Genomic DNA, 23,661 nt, shown 5'->3' with positions numbered 1-23,661 from the left:
TCGAATTTGTATTGGGGTCAAGTGGTATTGCAGAAGAAAATATGGCATTTAGATTTTGGGTCAGGAGAGTTGAAGAGGTTTTAAGTTCTTGAGAACACAGGCTAAGGGAGAAGAAGGAGGAATGGAGGGTGGAAGGCTGCCTATAGTGAAGAGGCAAGCCCAGAGAAAAGAGAGGGTGGAGACACGGGAGGGGGTGGGTACTTGCCCCCAGGGGAGGTGGTGCTTGCCACCAAGGTGAAGGATCACAGCAGGCATCCCTGCAGTGATCAGACACCTCTGAAATGTGGGTGAATCATCAGGCAGGCATCCCTGCAGTGATTAAACACCAAGGGAAGACTGTCTTCCCGAGTCCATGACTGGTGCCGGAGTTTTGGGTCCATGGATCAAATGTGTCTCCTCTGTCTCTACCAGAAAAGGAAAGGAACTGAAATTAAGGGAAGGGAGATATTGAAGGGTGGTGCTGAAATTCAGGAGAAAGAGGTTGAGGGACAGTGAGAGAGGTTGGAGAAGAGAGTAAAAAGAGGCCGCTTACCCGATTTAAAATTGGTGAGATGTTCCTTGGGCTGGTTGGTCTGAGGATCTGAGGTCGTAGGTGGATCTTTCTCATGGAGCAAAGAGCAGGAGGACAGGGGATTGATCTCCCAAGGGAGGTCCCCCGATCCAAGTCATGGCACCAAATGTCACATGCGTCTGTGTGAAGGGACCACCAAACAGGCTTTGTGTGAGCAATAAAGCTTTTTAATCACCTGGGTGCAGGCGGGCTGAGTCCGAAAAGAGAGTCAGTGAAGGGAGATAGGGGTGGCACAGTTTTATAGGATCTGTGTAGGTAGTGGAAAATTACAGTCAAAGGGGTTGTTCTCTGGCAGGCAGGGGTGGGGGTCACAAGGTGCTCAGTGGGGAGCTTCTGATACTCGTTGTCCAGGAGAAGGAATTTCACGAGATAATGTTATCAGTTAAGGCAGAAACCGGCCATTTTCACTTCTTTTGTGATTCTTCAGTTGCCTCAGGCCATCTGGATGTATACCTGCCGGCTTGGGCTCAGAGGCCTGATAGTGTGGTAGCATGCACCGGTAGTCCCAGCTACTCGGGAGGCTGAGACAGGAGAATGGCGTGAACCCGGGAAGCGGAGCTTGCAGTGAGCCGAGATTGCGCCACTGCAGTCCGCAGTCCGGCCTGGGCGACAGAGCGAGACTCCGTCTCAAAAAAAAAAAAAAAAAAAAAAAAAAAAGAGATCATGTTGACTGATATAGGAAAAAGGAATTGAATGAGGGCAAGGGCAAAAGGAAGAGGCCAGTTTGAAGGTTATTGCCATAGCCCATGCAAGAGACAATGATGGCCTGGACTTGGGTAATGGCTGCAGAGCTGAAGAAAAGATGATCTAAGGAAGACATAAGTTAGAAGGATAATCGATAAAACTTGAAGTGGGTAAATTTGGAGGAACATGAAGGAAAGAGAAAAATCAAAGGTGACTCTTAGATTTCTGCTTTGAAAAACTTGGTAGATGAATGAGGGTGCCATAGTTAGATGTCAATGACAAGGAAAGAGAAAGGAGATAGGGCACAAAAATTAAAGAGTTCTGTGTCGGATATAGTAATTTTGAGGTGCTTGTGAGTCTTCTAATAGGAGATGCCAAGCAATCAGCTGTAGAATACCTGTCAGAAGTCCAGAAAAGTTAGGTTACAGGTGTAATCTGGAAGTAAGTTGCAAAGAAAAGTTAATTAAGGCCACGGGAATTGATGGAATCATCTGAGAAGGGGTACAGAGAAAGAACAGTAGTAGGGGGTCTGGTACTGAGCACAGAGTGACTGAAATATTTAGAGATCTGGCCCAAAGAAATACAATGCATTGAATGATAACATTTTATTTGTTGGCTGGGCGTGGTGGCTCACGCCTGTAATCCCAGCACTTTTGGGAGGCCAAGGCGGGTGGATCACGAGGTCAGCAGATCGAGACCATCCTGGCTAACACGGTGAAACCCCGTCTCTACTAAAAATACAAAAAAGTTAGCCAGGCGTGGTGGCGGGCGCCTGTAGTCCCAGCTACTTGGAAGGCTAAGGCAGGAGAATAGCATGAACCCAGGAGGCGGAACTTGCAGTAAGCCGAGATCCCGCCACTGCACTCCAGCCTGGGTGACAAAGCAAGACTCCGTCTCAAAAAAAAAAAAACAAAAAAATTTCATTTGTTAAAAATTTTATTCCGTTCTCTTCTCCCCTATCCCTCACATTTTAAGTTCCACGTTTTTAGTCATGCTTCTTTTGTTTATTGAGCTAACTGACAGAATTCCAGCATTAGTCTTCAACCCATAGGTGCCTGTAATTGCTGGTGCAAGAAATGTTAGTGACACAAGTAGAAAATTTCCCACCTTTTCTTGTAGCTACAGAAAAGCAGATTATATTTTACATCATAACTTCTTGTAAGACACACTAGGACTTCACATATTGTTAAGTCCTATGAAAATAATCTTTAACCTCTAGAATCTCTGCAAATCTCATTAGTTTTGCATAATAATGTGTTGTCTTGGAAGTAATATTTAAATGTACATTTTTGTTTTTTTAAAAAGTATAAAATACTTGTGAATTTTCTCTGTTAAACAAAAAAAGGAACCTTCTTCTGCATGAAGGAAGGTTACATAAAAAAACAACTTTATATCTCTACTAATTTCTTTTTTAAACAGAACATTTGGGAAACTTAAAAACATATAAATTAACAGACAGAGAAGCCAGCAAAGAGGGTTGAGAAGAAGCTGCCAGAAAGGCTGGTAAAAAAAACAGGGAGCATGAAGAGCAGACCGTAATGAAGAGACTTTAATGAAAGAGGTCAGTTATGTTGAGATGTCTAAAAAGATAATGACTGAAAATGTCCAGTAGATTGATACAGCATAGAAGTCACTGGTGACCTTGGCCTGGACAGTTTTAGCATAGCCTGAAGATGGAGGCTGGTCTGTGCTTAGTGGTTTGAGAGGTGAGAAAAGTGAGGAAAATCTGAATGGGGGAGAAAGGTATGAAGGAAGTAGGTGTAGAAGGAGTAGGTGTAGAAGGTGAAGGAGGCACCAAGTATCTCCTAAGCAGCATGGAACCAGCATGTGGCAGCATGTAACACATGATCATTTTGCAAGAGTTTTTATTTTTATTTCCAAGACCTGTATAAAGTTAGTGGGATAGATCTTTTATCCCCATTTTATTGATAAGGAAATAGAAAGCCAGTTCATTACTCAACATTTCAAAGCACAGAAATATGGAGTCGCAGAAGCCAGGGCTTGAAATGAGGTCTGCAGAACCCAAGCCAGTGCTCTTTCATCTTAAACACGTAAAAGGGGGAAGTAACAGAAGAACAAAACATCCAATACACATTTATCTAACCTCCCCTCTCTAACTGGGCCTATACTTGGTTTTAACTTTTTGCATGGGAATGAAATGGTGGAATATGCCTAATTCTTTCCAGAGGAAATGCTATATCTGAAAATGCTATATTTTTAAAGGAACCACAATTTAGAGAGCAATAAGCAATGAAAGATAATTTTAAAAACTTAGCGGCAACATCTGAAGTCCTCTCTGTTGCTTCAACTATGCTAATAAGAGGTGCTGGGTCCTGGAAGTATCAGTGTCAAATAAGCTTTGCATAGGCTCACCTGGTTCATCCTGGTATCTCAGAAATCCAACTGCAACATAATGAGAAACTGAGTGAGTTGGTCATAGGAAATGGATGTGTTGAACTCTTGAGCACCTTGAATTTAAAATAGAAATAGTATTTTTATGTCATATTCTTTAAAATTTTTGAAACCACTGTGGGATATGATGAGGTTTCTCTTCAAATAATCTGATCAATCTTTTATTCTTTAATTCATAGTATCCCCCATTTTTCTCCTTTTTTCCTTCTTGCCTTTGTTAAATGCCCAGGCACATGACAGTACCAAGCGTTATCAGTACCAGCTCACATTCCTTTCCTTATTTGGAAAGAGGAGTAACTTTCTGGCTCATTACAGATACCCCTTCCCCTTTCCCTCCACTTTCTTTTATGTGCCCACCCTATCTAAAAACATCAAATGTTTAGCCAACTGGCATTAGTTTAGATTGTATGACCCGCCCCCGGCCAATGGGGAAAGGGTACAAGGGCAGGACTTGCGTTGGGAATAAAGGCTCTTGTACCCCTTTGTTCAGGTGTGTTCTCATGGCAACCGGCCAAGGAGGCACCCCTCTGCGCAAAAGTAAAATTGCTTTGCTAAGAATCCTTTGTTCGAGTGTTCAATTTCCTTAGGATTTTGAGCGTTATTCCTAACACCACCTGTGCAAAAATTATGTCAGTGAGAGAATTATGGCAGTGGGAGAGATCTGATCTAACTAACCCTCCCTCTTGTCCTTATCCTTCAAGCTGCCTTAATTATTACTGGGCTTAAGCCAAGCTGACTTTGGAAGACATTTAGTTTATAGTTTAAATGATAATAGCCCTTCCCCAAAACTCAACTGCCTTTGAAAAGCTAATGAGAGGCCAGGAGCCTAGAAGAATAGAGGAGCCTGAATTCTGCCAGCAATTATTCCAGAGGTCGCAGGATATGCAACTTCCTCAATTACTCCTGCAGATAACATCACTATTGTGGAACCTAAGATTGACCTTGTGAGATACATTTTTTTTTTTTTTTTTGAGACAGAGTTTCACTCTTGTTGCCCAGGCTGGAGTGCAATGGTGCAATCTTGGCTCACTGCGACCTCCGCCTCCTGGGTTCAAGCGATTCTCTTGCTTCAGCCTCCCGAGTAGCTGAGATTACAGGCGCCCATGACAACTCCTGGAACATTTTTTGTATTTGTAGTAGAGATGGGGTTTTACCATGTTGGCCAGACTGGTCTCGAACTCCTGACCTCAGGTGATCCACCCACCTGGGCCTCCCACAGTGCTGGGATTACAGGCGTGAGCTTTTGTGATACCTTTTTAGATTTTTTTGTATGTCTGACACCGGTGATGACTCTATCTGGACCTACCAACTTCTCCTGTGGCCCCACCCAGAAGCCATTCAGTGCAGGAGAATCATTTCACACACCCCGATGATTGTACTGCCAACCAATCAGTAGCAAGCGCCCATTGCCTAGCCACCCCACCCATTCCCTGAGACTATCTTTGAAAATCCCCTAGCCTATGGGCCTTTCATGAGACTAATTTGAGTAATAACTCTTTCCCCTGCATGGCGTGGCCAACCTCACATCAGTTAAACTCTTTCTTTACTGCAATGTCATGGTCTTTGTGTGGCAGGCAGGAAGAATCTGTCGGGCAGTTACAATATTAGAATATCTAGATTAGTTCAAGATATGAAATTGTTGAGATAAATTGAAAATCATTCTACAGCTTTTTCTTAGTCTTTGAAAATATGCAGGAGGCGAACATCAACATGGAATTTCTGAGAAAGATCCAATTAAAAATAAAAGGCTTATTTACTGTTGCTGAAGCTTGATAACTTTACTGGAATGGTGGTCTTTGTTGAGAAAGATGTGAGACGGTTACTTCTGACAGTGCTACCTGCCTTCTGTCTCAGTGAGGCCTCCACCTCCAGCCTAGTCTAAATCCTGTGGCTGCCTGTAAGCCATTGCTTCTTGTACCAAATAATAATGAAGTGCTTTTTTCCCCTTTACTCTGCCCTCACAAGCTTCATATCCTGGGATCAATTTGATCTACTTTAGAGCCCTATAAATAACCTGACTACTTAATTATAGACTCTTAATGAAACTTAAAAAAAACCCTTTTTCTTATGGAAAATTTTAGTTATTTTCAAAAGTAGACAGAACCCTTATATACTTTATGAAAGTACAAGGAACCCTATGTTCCCATCACCAGCTTCAACAATTACCAATGGCTTTTTAAATTACCATTTCTCCTCCTCCTGTATGATTTTGAAGAAATTCTCAGTTATCATAGTAATGAAGTATTTTTGCTTTAATCTCATCAGAATTGCAGTTGCTTGCTTTATGTATGTTAAATGTACAAAACATATTCATTGTGTTCTTACATATTATAATATTATATTTATTGTTTCTATTATGGGAATTACTATGAATTAAACATTTGCTTTAATATTTATATACCTTGTGAATGGCTACATGGTTCAAAATTAAAAAGATTCAAAAGGATATCCATAAAAGGTAAGTCTTTCTCTCCCCACCCCATCTTCCTTTCCCTCCTAGGAGACAGCACTCTTGCTGTGTTCTTATGCATTTTTTTTTTTTGTATTTTTAGTAGAGACAGGGTTCTACCATGTTGGGCAGGCTGGTTTAGAACTACTGACCTCAAGTGATCCGCCCACCTTGGCCTCACAAAGTGCTAGGATTACAGGCGTGAGCCACTGTGCCGGGCCGCATTTGTTTATGAATATTGCATGCATTTAAAAATATATGTGTGTGTGTGGATGTGTGTGTGTGTGTGTGTGTGTGTGTGTGTGTGTGTGTGTGTGTGTATGTAAGCAACAGAGAGAGAGAGAGAGAAAGGAAGATGTAATAACTTCTGACAGTGTCTGGGTGTGGTGCTGACATATCTCTCCAAGAAGAGAAGATTAGGGTTCCAGGGAGGGGACTTATGGACAATAAAGTTCTTTTTAGTTCTTTTGAGAAGATCTGCTTTTAGGCAGATGAAGGATTTCAGGAACTCAAATGCCTTCAGTTCAAAGTAATTTTGATGCCATAGAAACTTATTCTGGACCCCTTCACGTCTTAAAGGGGATATGAAGTCTTTAGGATGTAGCTTTTGTATATAAGGAGTTAAAGAGGAAGAAAATTCTGCTGCTAACATCACTGGGAGAAAAGAAGATCATTTTTATGTGTATAAATCTGCCCTTATTCACATAGCACATGCAAGACAGGGAGACAGAACTCTTTTTTCATTGATTTCCCCTTAGAGTTCATATTCATGGTATCTGTTTCCCAACTCTAAGTCTGTCCTTGGATGCTCCTGGAAGCATATTTCACATAAATAATAGCAACAGCAGCAGCAGCAACTAACACCTATTGAGCATTTACTGTGGGCCAGACACTGTTTCAGTGCTCTACACGTGTGTATTTGATCCTTACAACCATCCTATGAAGGAGATACTATTGTGAATGGAGAAACTGGGAGCAGAGAAGAAAAATAACTTGCTCAATGTCACAGCTACTAAGCAGTCAAGCTGAGATGTAGATTCTGACTTTAGAATCTGTATTCTTAAGCCCTGTGATATCTTTCTTTTGAATAGCAATATTTGGGAGAAAGGATGCTTCCCAAGTGATATGGATTAGTTCACTGATGTTAAAATTCTTACCCTAGAAATGGGGGCCAGGAGTTGGATAGGCCTGTGGTTCCATGAGTCAAAGCCAGGTATAGTATGGGACAGTACTGCTTAGGGACCACCAATGAAGTCCACACAGCAAACATCTAGGAGAGAAGCTGAAGTCAAGTCAGACACACAGTTCAGCCAAAGGATTACCCTAAGGGAGTTGGGCAGAATTTGAAAACAAGTGGGAGGCAGCAGGGTAGAAACTGGAGACATCAGACGTTGGGAGAGGGTAAACAGGTTCAGCATCAGGGGAAACAGGCTAATCTCTGAAATACAGGTGCCCAGTGTTAGGGGCTTTTTAAAAAAGGAGTTTATAACCTTTTTTGTGGAGGAAGAGATTTGATAATCTCTTCTTGTGTTTGCCAAAAACAAGTCTGTATAATAATCACATAGAAAGCTGGTTAAGGCTGGGCGCATTGGCTCATGCCTGTAATCTTAATGCTTTGGGAGGCTGAAGTAAGAGGATTGCTTGAGTTCAGGAGTTCGAGACCAGCCTGGGCAACATAATGACACCTCATCTCTAAAAAAAAATTAAAAAAACTTCACTGAGCATGGTGGTGCCTGCATGCCTTTAGTCCCAGCTACTTGGGAGGCTGCAGTGGGAGGATTGCTTGAACTTGGGAGATTGAGGCTGCCGTGAGCTGTGATCATGCCACTGCACTCCAGCTTGGGTGACATTGTGAGACTTTGTCTGAAAAAAAGAAAAAAGAGAAAGAAAGCTGGTTAAACATTCATATTCCTGGGCCCCAACCTCTGAGATTCTGATGCAGAAGGTCTGAAATAGGATCCTGAAATCCCATCTCCAGCAGGCATCTCAGTTGGTTCTGAAGCAGAATTTCCATGGATCTCACACTGAGAGACAATGGATAAATGTGAAGAGGCAAAATTGTTATCTTTTCATTGCCCTAAAATTCAGTTTAGTTAAATGCTACAAAAAAATGGTGTCAGGAAATTACACAGTAGAGGCTAGTCAGGGTTATATATAAAACAGAAAAAAATGTCCATGAGGGTGGGGTGAGGAGGGTATTTCTATTGTATATGTCCATTCTCTGGGTCCACATTAGAAAAACAGCTAGGGCAGGGATTTTTCACTAGATAGTGCCTTTCATGCACCTAAGAATGGCCTGTTTTCTATACCCAATATATTTGAAGATCAAGGGGGGAAAGCTAGATTGGGAATTCCATTTATTCATGTTTTCATCATATACTTATATAATTAAATAATGAAACATTCATTGGGCACCTAATATTTGCCAGACAGTGTTCCAGGATTTTGGAGACACACAAATGAAGAAAATGGATACAGTCTTTGATCTCATGGGGCCTAGAGTCTAGAAAGTAATAGAAAGAGATGAGCTTGAGTGAAAGTTCATTTTATGTTTCAACTTGGCTGGGCTAAGTGATGCCCAGATAGTTTGCAAAACATTATTTCTGGGTGTGTCTGTGAGGGTGTTTCTGGAAGAGATTAGCATTTCAATCGTTAGACTGAGTAAAGATTACTCTCACCAGTGTGGTTGGGTATCATTCGACCTGTTGAGGAGCCGAAAAGAACAAAAAGGCAGAGGAAAGGTGAATGCTTAGCTGGGCCCTCCCTATTTTCCTGCCCTTGGACATTAGCACACCTGGTTCTCAAGCCTTTGGACTTGGACCAGGACTTAACGCCATTGCCTCTACTGGCTTGCAGGATTTTGGGCTTGAACTGAAACTGTACCACTGGCTTTCCTGGGCCTCCAGCCTGCAGATCATGGGATTTCTCAGTCTCCATAGTCATGTAATCCATAATCACATAATCATAATCATCCATAATCACCAATCCCTCATAGTAAATGTATTTCATATACCAGTATATAACCGATTGGTTGTGTTTCTGGAGAACCGTGAGTAACACAGCTTGCATAGTGGCTAAGAATGCAGTCTCTGGAGTCAAGACTGCCTGGTGCAAACCCTGGCTCTACTACTTACTAACTGTGCCTCACTTTCCTCAATTATGAAAGATGGATGATAATGATGCTACCCTCATGTAGTTGTGAAGATTAAACTAATGTTTGCAAAACAAATATGCCTGGTACATGTGTTTAATAAATAGCACTGTTTTTCCAAGGCTAGAGGTTTATTCTTCTTTTAGTGTCTTCGATCTATGGCTTTTGGTCTTTCACTTCTTGGATCACCTTTATTTGTTCACCACTTGAGTGGAGCTCAGGTCAGGAAAGCTTCTTGCTTCTCCAGCACCTTTACTTAGAAAGGAGGTCCTGTAAGCTTCAAACTTGGCCACTTATTGCAATAGAAACATACAAATGTCTGTAATCTTGTTGATGCCCAGCTCAAAGTTTTGAATTATTCTAGTCAGAGTGGGAAAATGTTGGGGAAAGGAAAAAGAAGTGCTATTCACTCCATGTGATTTTTAGAAAAGTATTCTGCATGAATATTCATGGTCCTGGCCAGCATTAGTGACAGCAAAGGTTGGCCTAACATTTGCTCCCTCGAGTATAGTCTTTATTATCTTCAGACAATTTTATATAAAAATATTTATATTGTAGGGCCGGGCACGGTGGCTCATACCTGTAATCCCAGCACTTTGGGAGGCTGAGGTGGGTGGATCACCTGAGGTCAGGAGTTCAAGATCAGCCTGGCCAACATGGCGAAACCCTATCTCTACTAAAAATACAAAAATTAGTAATCCCAGCTACTGGGGAGGCCGAGGCAGGAGAATCACTTGAACCTGGGAGGCAGGGGTTGCAGTGAGCTGAGATAGCGCCACTGCACTCCAGCCTGGGTGACAGAGTGAGACTCTTCTCAAAAAAAATAAAAATAAAAATAAATAAATAAATAAATAAGTAAAATGTAAAAAAATTTACATTATAAAATGGAAAGTTAGAGTTGATGCTTTTTGAGATGTTAGGAGGGGATATATGGAGCCATTGTGTGCTTTGATAATATCTGTGTCTGAGTAATTAAGTATGCTTTAAACACGTCCAGATTCTACTGCATTCTTTCTCAGGAAACTGCAGAATAATTAATTTCTCCATACACACCATTTAAAAAACATACCTCCTGTCACGGACACACTTTTGCAATAAAAAACTGTTTAATGAATAGACTAATTGAGAAGGTTTACATATCACATTCAAAGCTTGGGGAGCACCTGGGAACTAAAAAGTACATTCTGTTAGTAGGGATCTAGGCTACAGTCAGGCTGGCTTTCAAATGGAAACATGCTGGTTTTTTAGACTCGCATGGAGCCTTGTTTCCTGGTTGCATAATAGAATGGTGCAGGCAAGTTAGTAAATTCTGTATTTGCCACACAATAAAGAAATCTCCCTAAAACCTGACACCCTTGCTATGAGAATTGCTCAAAAACTTTTCCTTCAACACTCTTCCCAGATTCTGTTTATCTCAAAAGAGAAGACACAGGCTGATCTGCATTCTGCAATTGACTGCCCCATAGCCTCTGCAGTGTGCAGATTTGAAATTGACTTTCTCCCTGGAGGATGTTTCTTGGACCAGGAGGGTAAGAAAAGTCAGCTAAGCCAAGGCATCTTTAAAGATCTCTCTGAAGCAAGATACAAACTATGCTCTTTAGACAACACATTTTCAATGTTCTAAATCATGACCTTCCCTACTTCAAATGAATACCAATGAAAATCAATTCCTCCTGGAGTGAGAAATAGAGTTTACTGGGGTTTGGAGGTAGGTGGGAAGGGAATTTTGTATGTGATGGGAATTGTAGGCTTTCCAGGGGTTACTGAAAGTTTTGCAAGTTTTGCCTATAGGGAAAAGAGCTAAATTCCTACACATTAAAGAGAGTGGGCAATGGGACATTTACCTCAATTTTGGAATGAAAGAAATTTCAGAATCTTGTCACAAAATGGACATTCAGAGGCTTCTGAACGTAAAAGCACTTTTTACTCAACAGAATCACTGCATTCCAGTCTGATCATGTTTATCTTTACTTTGACAAACATGGTATTGAAAAGAATTAAAGTATCGGATGAGGCAGACCTCCTTTCAAATCCTGACTATGTCACTAAAAGCTCTGCATTCTAACTTCTCTGATCTTCAGTTTCCTTCTCTGTAAAATGGAATAATACCTTGCAGAGTTATTCTGATGATTAAATGTGATTACTATGTGAAGCAATTAATGCAGTACTGGCATTCATTGGGAACCCAAGATATGGTCCTTTTTCTCTCTCTGTATCTCTCACATCCATACACACCCTACACCCCTGATTCCCTCTGTGTATTGCTCTATCCTCTCTTGCGTTTTTCTCTCATCTGCTCATTCTTTAAGGCTCAGCTCCTATTTTTTACTTCTTGTCCCTACCTTCTATAGAGATCTCACCTTTTCACTTTTTCTAGTGCTTGTAGTTTAGTTTATCATCCTCAGAAATGTTTTATTTGGCTGGGTATAGTGGCTCATGCCATTAATCCTAGCACTTTAGGAGGCTGAGGGAGGCAGATCGCTTGAGCCCAGGAGTTTTGAGACCAGCCTGGACAACATGGTGAAACCCAGTCTCTACTAAAAATACAAAAATTAGCCAGGCATGGTGGTGCAGGCCTGTAATCCCAGCTACTTGGGAGACTGAGGCATGAGAATCACTTGAACCTGGGAGGTGGAGGCTGCAGCGAGCTGAGATCAAACCACTGCATTCCAGCCTGGGTGATGGAGTGAGAGTCTGTCTCAAAAAAAAAAAAAAAAAAAAAAAGAAGTATTATTTGATTAATGTGGCAAATATAACATTCACATACTCTATGGCATCCAGAATCTTGAAGGACACATAGCAGGTCTATAATAAATGTTTACTGGTTTATATTGTTATGTACTTCAGATAATAAGCCCCTTAATTTCTTCTTCTTTCTAAGTGAATCTGAGGACATCATTAATAATATTCATAGAATAACCACATGGTTTACCTGTATTTACTCAAAACTTCACAAGCACTCTATAAGGCAGGTATTATTATCCTCATTTTGCTAATGAGCAAACAGGGTAATAAGCAAAACATAATTTGCCCAAATTATATACCAGACATAGATATTGAGGATTTAAATTCAGGTCTTTCTGATTCTAAAGCTTACATTTTGCCATATTATGTGAATTTTTCCATTAAGTTTTTGATACAAATGTAGTTAGGGTTTAAAGTCTTGGCTTTGGAGCAAAACAGATTTTCTCTGTAAGCACTCTTCGTTGTTATAAATGTCTATTCATTGGGACAGCTACAGCCTCTTTTGTTGGTCCTTCTTATATGATTCTTGGTCCCTCCTATACGATTCTTGGTCCCTGTGAGCAGTGCAAGGAGGTGCTTGGATTCCTCCCCCTTGTTGAGAGGGTTTCAAGATAATTCAATCTTCTTACTCTTCTCATCATGGGCATTATTGTACCAGGCAGTACCTTTCTTAAAAGGGCAAGAGAGGCCGGGCGCGGTGGCTCACGTCTGTAATCCCAGCACTTTGGGAGGCTGAGGCGGGCTGATCACGAGGTCAGGAGATCGAGACCATCCTGGCTAACACTGTGAAACCCCGTCTCTACTAAAAAACAGAAAAAATCAGCCGGGCGTGGTGGTGGGCGCCTATAGTCCCAGCTACTCGGGAGGGTGAGGCAGGAGAATGGCGTGAACCCGGGAGGCAGAGCTTGCAGTGAGCCGAGATCGCGCCACAGCACTCCAGCTTGGGCGACAGAGCGAGACTCCGTCTCAAAAAAAAAAAAAAAAAAAAAAAAAAAAAAGGGCAAGAGAGAACCATAGATGGAGAGTAATGTTTTTTAGAGGAAAAAAAAAAAAGGCTCTTCTCAAGAGTTACATATATGGCTTTGGCATCTGCAAAAACAAAACAAAAGAAAAGAAAACACTCATTTACAAATAATTTGCTTCTTAAATACAAATTTTTCCTGCCATAAAACTTTGATAAATAGCTTGAGGAGTGATGTGACCCCATCTGTCTGGCTAATCCAAATTGTGTTTTCCCTCCTTAAAATTAGTGAAAGGAACAGTACAATTGCAAATAAATTATATTTTCCCCACAGATGAGAAGTATTTTCTATACTACAATGCTTTCCAATTATATAGGGTAGCTTCATGTTGAATAACAACAGAAGTTCCCAAATTGAGTGCTTGTGGCCAGCATCCGAAGTTCAATAATTTTGGTAATAGATCTTTTTCCTGCTTAAATGGATATGTAAAATGGATATGTAAATGAATATTAGAGGTTTCAAGAGATATAACACATTTCTTCCAGGCCCTATAATTTCTGCTTTGGATAATAATTAGTGATTTTCCATTACATTTCTAACTTTTACATTATTTATATTTTTAAAAAAATCCTTGGTGCTAGAATTGTGGTTTCTATTTCCTTTTGGAGGATAATAAGTTCATTAGGTTAGCAAATTATTTAAGTGTTTAATGTTATTCTCTTTGCTGTGAATTGCTGTACAATTTTGGGGAGGATGATTTATAATTTCCGGCCTATTTCCCTGCATTTTTGAGAAGGCTGAATAAACATATTTTCTGGAATGAAGAGAGAAAAACAGAAGAGAAACATTTGAGGGAGGCACTATAGGGTGACGTTTCATTCTTTAATGTAGTCCATAATCAAACTGGATTCCCAAAGTTGGATACAAATTGAGTATGGAAATCAATTTTATTTCATGTCTTTCTCAATTTAGTTCCTCACTTTGATTTTTCTTTCAATTGGCTTGAGTGTATCCTCAGGTAAGACTCTGGTTTTATGCATCTGAGCATACTTTATGTTGCCTTTATGCATGAAAGACAAGTGATTAGGATGCCAAATTATTAGCTCACTGAATTTTTCTTTCAGAATACAATTGGTTGTTAAATATTGGGCCAGTCCAGTTTTTATTATTTGTAGGTAACCTGTTTTCTTGCTTCTCCTGGTGCTTTTAAAATGTTTTCTTTATCCCAGTAAACCAAATATTCTTCATGATGTGCTTTGATATGGGCCTCTATTGATTTCTCATGGAATGTGGTGAATGCATTCAAACTGCATTCTCAGGCTTTATTACAATTTTTTTTTAACAAGGAAAATTTTTTTTGGATTATGTCTTTAATTTGTCGTGTTTTAGCATCAGAAATTTTCCCTTGTGTTCTTTTATAGGTACTAAGTTTACCTAAAAAAGACGGTAAACTAATTCTTTGTGACCCAAGGATATTCTATTGTCCATATCATGAGACAATGTGATGCGTGAAAATAGTACTTTTTTTTTTTTTTTTTGAGATGGAGTCTCGCTCTTTCGCCCAGGCCGGACTGCAGTGGTGCTATCTCGGCTCACTGCAAGCTCCACCTCCTGGGTTCATGCCATTCTCCTGCCTCAGCCTCCTGAGTAGCTGGGATAACAAGCGCCCGCCACCACGCCTGGCTAATTTTTTGTATTTTTAGTAGAGACGGGGTTTCACCATGTTAGCCAAGATGGTCTCGATCTCCTGACCTCATGATCTGCCCGCCTCGGCCTCCCAAAGTGCTGGGATTACAGGAGTGAGCCACCTCGCTCGGCCGAAAATAGTACTTTTAAACCAAGTCTATATGGATTATAAAAACAACTTTACTTCAGCGGTAAGAAGAGGCTGTTTTTGTTTTTGGCTCCTAGTTTTTGTTGTCTACATGGCGAACAGTACCTGAGTGCTTTGCTCACAATTTTGTAATCCCAGATAGGTCTCTTACTTCAAAACATCCAAGTGGTATAACCTTAATGCAAGAAGGAAATCTAGGTTGCTAGGGCCAAAAACATTATGGGTGTGTGGGTGAAAGAATTGGTTAGCAATATTTAAAATCAACAGAAAGAGTAAAAGGAAATCTAGATTTTAAACTATTCTGATTTCATAGTGTCCATATCTTTCACTGTAAATAAGCTGGAAAGAATTATAAACATTACTTAACTGCATAGTATCACAAGCTTATATAACTGTAGAAATATACATTGATACTTGTGTTTGTCCCAATTGCTCTGTTTTGTTGCTTGGGAATATTTCTAATTCCTAGCTTGGCTCACTGTTTTCTTTTCTCTATATCTAGCATTTTCTCTCTCATCAAACTCATCTTCTTGTTTTTTTTACTTAATCAGCAACAGTTAATCACAATGTGAGGCACTATCTCATTAAAGCTGAGAGAAGTGGAAAAGGAAAGATGAAAGTAAACTCAAAATATGAGGTGAGACTTTTAGAAAGGGTAACATGTGATCAAGCCCTTTATGGATGCAGAAGACTAACCAGGCCTAGAGAAGACACCTGACAGAAAAGGTGCTGGTTAAGGAGTGGTACTGAGGGAAGAGAGAGACCCTCTCATATTGTTTTATACTCAGTACCTGTTTTTTTTTTTTTTTTTTTTTGAGACGGTGTCTCGCTCTGTCGCCCAGGCCGGACTGCGGACTGCAGTGGCGCAATCTCGGCTCACTGCAAGCTCCGCTTCCCGGGTTCACGCCATTCTCCTGCCTCAGCCTCCCGAGTAGCTGGGACTACAGGCGCCTGCCACCGTGCCCGGCTAATTTTTTGTATTTTTTTTTTTTTTTTTTTTTTTTTTCAGTAGAGACGGGGTTTCACCTTGTTAGCCAGGATGGTCTCGATCTCCTGACCTCATGATCCACCCGCCTCAGCCTCCCAAAGTGCTGGGATTACAGGCGTGAGCCACCGCGCCCGGCCTCAGTACCTGTTTTAAGAAAAAACAACAAGGAAGTAAAACCAAAGACAGGCAGCCCGGCGCCAGGCCCGAAACCAGGCCTGGGCCTGCCTGACCTAAACCCAGTAGTTAAAAATCAACTCATAACTTAGAAACTGATGTTATTCATAGATTCCAGACATCGTATAGAACAACACTGTGAAACTCCCTGCCCTGTTCTGTTTCTCTCTGACCACCAGCACATGCAGCCCCTACAATGTACCGCCTGGTTGCTCAAATCAATCGCATCCCTTTCTTGTGAAATCTTTAGTGTTGTGAGCCCTTAAAAGGGACAGAAATTGTGCATTTGGGGAGCTCGGATTTTGAGACAGTAGCTTGCCCACACTCCCAGCTGAATAAAGCCCTTCCTTCTACAACTCGGTGTCTGAGAGATTTTGTCTGCGGCTCATCCTGCTGCATTTCTTGGTTCCCTGACCGGGAAGTGAGGTGACTGACAGACGGCCGAGGCAGCCCCTTAGGCGGCTTAAGCCTGCCCTGTGGAGTGTCCCTGCAGGGGACTCCAGCCAGCCTGAGAGGCACGATCCAAAGAGCGCTCCTGGGTAGGCAATTGCCCTGGTGGAACGCCTTGCCAGAGCAGCACATAACAGGCCCCTGTGGAGGATTAACACAGCGGCTGAATACCCGGAAGGAACTGGGACTTGGAGTCCGGACATCTGAAAGTTGGTAAGACTAGTCTTTGGAACTTGCCCCACTCCATCGGAGTGGAAGTGTGGCCTGATCACCCACGGTGTGCCTGTATTGGCACTTTTGTTCTGGTTTTGACTTGGCTTGACTTGGTAAGACTAGACTTTGGAACTTGCCCCACTCCATCTGAGTGGAAGCGTGGCCTGATCACCCATGGTGTGCCTGTATTGGCACTTTTGTTCTGGTTTTGACTTGACTTGAATTGCTGGATACTTTGGTTCTGGTTTTGACTTGGCTTGAATTTTTTGGTACTTGGATTTTGAATTTTGTGATTTTGGTTTGGTATAAATGGTAGAAGTGTGCATGTGCCCTCTTTACCCATTCTTTGTCTTGTGGTGAGTTTGTGTGGTGTGAGCGTGGTGTTTTGTCTTGAAGAAGCATGGGTCAGGCACAAATAAGCCCACTCCACTAGGAACTATGTTAAAAAAAAATTTCAAGAAAATTTAAGGGAGAGTACGGTGTTACTGTGACACCAGGAAAACTTAGAACTTTGTGTGAAATAGACTGGCCAGCATTAGAGGTGGGTTGGCCATCAAAAGGAAGCCTGGACAGGTCCCTTGTTTCAAAGGTATGACACAAGGTAACCTTTAAGCCAAGGCACCCAGACCAGTTTCTATAAATAGACAGTTACAGCTGGTTTTAGACCCCCTTTCCCCCCACAGTAGTTAAAAGAACAGCAGCATAAGCGGCTGGCAAAGGCAAGGAAAGACCAGCAGAGAGAAAAAAAGGCCATCTATACCAATTCTAAGTTAATTTAGACTAAACAAGGTCTTATTAATAGCAAAGGATAATTGAAATCCCAAACTTACAAGGTTTTCAACAAAAGTGAAGTTTGCTAAAGGTTAGCAGTGTAGCATGTATTATGGTAACTTCTAATCTTGTGGCCTTAGACAGTCTAGTCCAAAGACATAAAAAAAGTTCCCTTTAAAAAAAGGAATGGTTATGTTCCAAAAAAAAAAAAAAAAAATGGGAGGCAGAATTTATGTAAAAGGAGTGTTATATGGTAAATTCTTGTCCTGAAATAAATTAACTGGTTGTTTAAAAAGAAAATGTTTGTAGTAAGTCAGAAAGTTGAGACATGTTGAAGAACTGTTGGCCAAAGTCATGAAAAAAAATTATAAAAAAATTTATGCGAAAAATGTTGTATAATTTAAAAGTAATAAGGCCTCCCGAGTACTATTAAAAAATAGTTTATGTGCAAGGTGTATAAGAAAAATAAAATATACCTTTGGTAAAAAGATTATAAAGGGGCATAAGAATGTAGATTTTTACCTACATTAAAAGGTTAAAAAAATTGTTTTAAAAGTTTAAGCAAGTTTTAAAATGTTAATTGTAAAAAAAAATTCTGTGTGTAAACATATTAACTAAAGTTAAAAAGGTATCATCCAGTTTTTCTGTGAACTGGACATTAAAGTAAAAATGCAACAGGTTTTTCTGAAAGCATCAACCTGCTCTTTAACAAAAGTTACAAAAGGTTAAAAAGAGTCTATAAAATCTTACCTTATGGTCAAACATAAAAAAAATTGGATAAATATGTCTACAAGGTTTTACTAAAATTGTTTAACTTTAATAGCTCACTAATATAAAGGTAAAATTTAGCTTATCTGGTATAAAAATCATACAAGAAGCATTATTAAATATAAAATGGTGTTTAGCTCTCTTTGGTCTAAAAACTAATAAAAATTGGTGCTAAAGGAAACATTCATTTTACTAGAAGATCATAAAAGTTAAAGACTTTAAAAAAACTTTGGCAATTAAGACAGCATACCAAGATGCAAATGCCTGGTTGAAATGGATCAAATATTCCATCTGCACGTTAAACAAAAGCAATTGTTATGCTTGTGCACATGGCAGTCCAGAGGCCCTGATTGTCCCCCTTCCACTAAGGTGGTCCTTCAGTCAACCAGGCATGGGCTGCATGGTAGCTCTTTTCCAGGATTCTACAGCCTGGAGTAATAAGTCATGCCAAGCTGTCTCTGTTGTATCCCGAAGTCCCTGCGGGTAAGCCCCCAAGGGCCATCCAGCTTCCGTCTCCCAACACTAAGTTCACTTAGTGTCTCTCATGGCAGGGAGGAGACTTAGCATTCCTTGGAGACCTGAAGGGATGCAGTGAGCTTAAGAATTTTCAAGAGCTTATCAGTCAGTCAGCCCTTGTTCATCCCCGAGCGGGTGTGTTGTGGTATTGTGGTGGACCTTTACTGGGCACTCTGCCAAATAACTAGAGTGGCACTTGTGCTTTAGTCCATTTGGCTATCCCTTCACCCTGGCATTTCATCAACCAGAGGAAGGAAAAAAAAATAAGACATTGTAAAGCGAGAGAAGCCCCTTATAGGTCTTTCAACCCTCATATCTATTTAGATGCAATTGGAGCCCCACAAGGAATACCAGATCAATTTAAAGCTTGAAATCAAACAGTTACAAGATTTAAGTCAATATTTTGGTAGATGACAGTCAATAAAAATGTAGATTAGATAAACTACATCTATTACAACCAACAGCAATGAGCTTTTCATGAATTAAAAAGAAAAACTCATGTCAGCCCCAGCCCTGAGGCTACCTGACCTGACAAAACTCTTTACACTCTATGTGTCAAAAAGAGAAAAAATGGCAGTTGGAGTTTTAAACCAGACTGTAGGGCCCTGGCCAAGGCCAGTGGCCTATCTCTCAAAACAACTAGATGGGGTTTCCAAAGGCTGGCCCCCATGTCCAAGGGCCCTGGTAGCAATGGCCCTGTTAACACAAGAAGCAGATAAGCTAACTCTTAGACAAAACCTAAACATAAAGTCCCCCCATGCTGTGGTGATTTTAATAAATACCAAAGGACACCATTAGCTAATGAATGCTAGACTAACTAGATACCAAAGCTTGCTCTGTAAAAATCCCCGCATAACTGTTGAAGTTTGCAACACCCTAAACCCTGCCACCTTGCTCCGAGTATCAGACAGCCCAGTTAAACATAACTGTGTAGAAGTATTAGACTCAGTTTATTCTAGTAGGCCCAACCTCCAAGACCATCCTTAAACATCAGTAGACTGGGAGCTGTAAGTGGATGGGAGCAGCTTCGCCAACCCCTGCAAAGTGACTCTGAAGAAAACTGCAAGCCCTGCTCCAGTCACACCGGGAAGCCTACTGGTCCACACACGGCCGAAACATGAGAAAACTCATCATGGGACTCATTTTCCCTAAAATTTGGACTTGTACAGTAAGGACTTCAACTCACCTTCCTCAGACTGAGAACTGTTTCCAGTATATACATCAAGTCACTGAGGTAGGACAAAAGATTGCTACAGTCCTATTATTTTATGGTTATTGTAAGTGTACCAGGACTCTAAAAGAAACTTGTTTGTATAATGCTATTCTATCCAAGATATGTAGCCCAGGAAATAACCAACCTGTTGCGTGTTAGGACCCATTTTAAGCCTCCCATGATCACAGTTTTTAAAATAAAATTAAGGACTGGTCCTTTTCTAGGTGACACAAGTAAGGTAATAGCTGGAACAGAAGAAAGAGGGGTCCCCAAAAAGGTAACCTTAAAATTTGATGCTTGTGCTGCTATTGATAGTAAGCAGCATGGAATAGGATGTGGTTCTCTAAATTGATTAAAAAAGTGACACAGTAAAAAAAAATAAGTATATCTGTCAAGAATCATATTTATGTAAGATGTGTCAATACTGGTCTTGTGTCATCTGGGCTACTTGAAAAGAAGATAAAAAAGATCCTATTTGGCTCCAAAAAGGAAAAGTCAGCCCCTCCTGCACGAGTGGGAGCTTCAACCTTTTAGAATTGGTAATCACAAACCCCTCAGACCCAAAGTGAAATAAAGGAAAATATATAACATTAGGCATTGATGGAAAAGGACTAGATCCTAGTTTAAGCATCCTAATAAAAGGAGAGGTTCAGAAACGCTCTCCAGAACCAGTATTTCAGACTTTCTATGATAAACTAAATGTGCCAGTACCAGAGACTCCAGGAAAAACCAGAAATTTGTTTTTGCAATTAGCCGAACATGTAGCCCAATCTCTACAAGTCACCTCACGTTATGTTTGTGGAGGAACTGTAACAGGAGATCAGTGGCCATGGGAAGCCCAAGAATTGGTTCCTACAGACCCAGTTCCTGATGAATTCCCAGCCCAAAAGAACCACCCTGACAATTTTTGGGTTCTAAAAGTCTCAATTATTGGACAGTATTGCATAGCTAGAGAAGGAAAAGGATTCACTCATCCTGTAGGGTGGCTTAGTTGTCTTGGGCAAAAGCTATATAATGGTACCACAAAAACAGTTACATGGTGGAGTTCCAATTACACAGAAAGAAATCCATTCAGTAAATTTCCAAAGTTGCAGACTGTTTGGGCCCACCCAGAATTCCACTGGGACTGGAACGGCCCCCACCAGGTTATACTGGATATGTGGACACAGAGCTTATGCTAAGCTGCCTGATCAGTGGACAGGTAGCTGCGTAATTGGCACCATTAAACCATCTTTCTTCTTACTGCCTATAAAAACAGGTAAACTTCTGGCTTCCCAGTCTATGCTTCCTGCGAAAAACGAAGCATAGCCTTAGGTGATTGGAAAGATGATGAGTGGCCCCCTGAAAAAATCATATAATACTATGGACCTGCCACTTGGGCACAAGATGGCTCATGGGGATATCGAACCTCCATCTACATGCTCAGCTGAATCATATGGTTCCAAGCTGTTTTAAAAACTATTACTAATAAAACCGGTCAAGCCTTGACTGTTCTCTTGCCAGGCAAGAGACTCTGATGAGAAATGCTATCTGTCAAAATAGACTAGCTCTTGACTACTTGCTGGCAGCTGAAAGAGGAGTTTGTGAAAAATTTAACCTTACTAATTGTTGTCTACACATAGATGATCAGGGGCAAGTAGTTGAGGATATAGTTAAAGATATAACAAGGCTGGCACATGTATCCGTACAAGTGTGGCATGGACTCAATCCGGGAGCCATGTTTGGAAACTGGTTCCCAGCAATAGGAGAATTTAAAACTCTTATAATAAAAGTAATAATAGTAATAGGAACCTGGTTACTGCTCTCTTGTCAGATACCTGTATTTCTCCAAATGATAAAAAACTTCGTTGCTACCTTAGTTCACCAAAATGCTTCAGCACAAGCATACTATATAAGTCACTATCAATCTATTGCACAAAAAGGCCTAAGTAGCAAAAATAAGAGTGAGAACTCCCACTAATAAAAAGTGAGAGTCTCAAAGGGGGGAAATGAGGGAAGAGAGAGACCCTCTCATATTGTTTTATATTGTTTTATACTCAGTACCTGTTTTAAGAAAAAACATCAAGGAAGTAAAACCAAAGACAGGCAGCCCGGTGCCAGGCCTGAAACCAGGCCTGGGCCTGCCTGGCCTAAACCCAGTAGTTAAAAATCAACTCATAACTTAGAAACCGATGTTATTCATAGATTCCAGACATCGTATAGAAGAGCATTGTGAAACTCCCTGCCCTGTTCTGTTTCTCTATGACCACCAGTGCATACAGCCCCTGTCACGTACCACCTGCTTGCTCAAATCAATCATGACCTTTTCATGTGAAATCTTTAGTGTTGTGAGCCCTTAAAAGGGACAGAAATTGTGCATTCAGGGAGCTCGGATTTTGAGACAGTAGCTTGCCGATGCTCCCAGCTGAATGAAGCCCTTCCTTCTACAACTCAGTGTCTGAGAGGTTTTGTCTGTGGCTCGTCCTGCTACAGTACCATCATTTGGGTACTTTTTAGGTAAAGATGGTTTGTGAGTGGCTTTATGTTGCATGCTGACTACAATGAGATTTTTAAATTTTTTTAGGGCAGTGGGAACATAAAAATGAATTTTAACTATGATTACTAAGGGATTTAAGTAGGAGCATGAGTGACACTGTCATACATATGGCTGGCAGCAGGCAAACACTTCTTAGGTATGAATCAGAAAAAAGAGAGGGAAGAAAGCCAGTGAGGGCAGGGTGAGCCATCAGATATATCAGTGCACAGAAACGTCCTGAGGTCTTTACATCAGGAAGTCAAGCTAGAAATAGGGAGACCTGGGTATTAGTCAGGGTTTTCTAGAGGGACAGAACTAATAGGATAGATGTATATATGAAGGGGAGTTTATTAGGAGAATTGACTTACACGATCACAAGGTGAAACCCCACAATAGGTCATCTGTAAGCTGAGGAGCCAGGAAGCCAGTCTGAATCCCCAAACCTCAAAAGTAGGGAAGCTGAGAGTGCAGCCTTCAGTCTGTGGCCAAAGGCCCGAGAGCCCCTGGCAAATTACTGGTGTAAGTCCAAGGATCCAAATGCTGAAGAACTTGGAGTCTGATGTTCCAGGGCAGGAAGCATCCAGCACAGGAGAAAGAGAAAAAGCATCCAGGCAGGAGGAAGAAAACAGATGGAGAAAAATGAAACAGAAGACTTAGCCAGTCTAGTCTTTCCATGTTCTTCTGCCTGCTTTTATTCTAGCCATGCTGGGAGCTGATTAGATTGTGCCTACCAGATTGAGGGTGGGTCTGCATCTCCCAGTTCACTGGCTCAAATGTTGATCTCTTTTGGTGACACCTTCACAGACACACCCAGAAAGAATACTTAGCATCCTTCAATCCAATCAAGTTGGCACTCAATATTAACCATTACCACCTGCGATATCAGGACTAAGTACCGGCAACCAGGATGCTAGACAAAGTGGTCAGTGTCATTAGTAGAATATCATAGTAATTAACTTCAAGAAATGTGATAGGATTAGGATCAATGCACCAAAACTGACATTCAGCAAGCCCCTCCAATCTGTCCCTTATGTGGGGTCAAGGCTGTTGTTTCAGTGGGGAAGGTCTTACTTGGATCCTTTGTTCCTGAGTGAAATACAAATTGAAGGACATTTGCATTTGTAAGAGACAGAGACTTGTCAGATGGCTTCATTTTCCATCTACTTCCTGTCTGCAACAGTGCCAAGTCACCTCCCAGATATTACCCACATGCCATCTGCAAGTTGGGAGTCTTCAACTTTTTGA

General features: G+C 41.0%; 1 long non-coding RNA gene across 3 annotated transcripts in view, besides 2 other annotated features; it reads left to right on the top strand.

Annotated features, from left to right (window-relative positions):
- The window catches only part of LOC105377700 (uncharacterized), a 348,217-nt gene that overhangs the window by 101,911 nt on the left and 222,645 nt on the right, over window positions 1-23,661 (top strand). The gene's annotated exons all lie outside the window — the stretch shown is intronic.
- Window positions 3,584-4,561: an enhancer, noted in NCBI's record as "OCT4-NANOG-H3K27ac-H3K4me1 hESC enhancer chr5:162757857-162758834 (GRCh37/hg19 assembly coordinates)". NCBI's record gives its function as "activates a minimal SCP1, AML or CMV promoter by ChIP-STARR-seq in primed H9 embryonic stem cells {active_cell/tissue: H9 hESC(primed)}" and the evidence as "EXISTENCE:reporter gene assay evidence [ECO:0000049][PMID:30033119]".
- Window positions 4,562-5,539: an enhancer, noted in NCBI's record as "OCT4-NANOG-H3K27ac-H3K4me1 hESC enhancer chr5:162756879-162757856 (GRCh37/hg19 assembly coordinates)". NCBI's record gives its function as "activates a minimal SCP1, AML or CMV promoter by ChIP-STARR-seq in primed H9 embryonic stem cells {active_cell/tissue: H9 hESC(primed)}" and the evidence as "EXISTENCE:reporter gene assay evidence [ECO:0000049][PMID:30033119]".

This window comes from Homo sapiens, chromosome 5 (assembly GCF_000001405.40).
Source record: "Homo sapiens chromosome 5, GRCh38.p14 Primary Assembly".
In the NCBI taxonomy this organism is placed as follows: Eukaryota; Metazoa; Chordata; class Mammalia; order Primates; family Hominidae; genus Homo; species Homo sapiens.
Note: the sequence above shows the minus strand (reverse complement) of the source record. Positions and strands in the feature narration are given on the sequence as shown.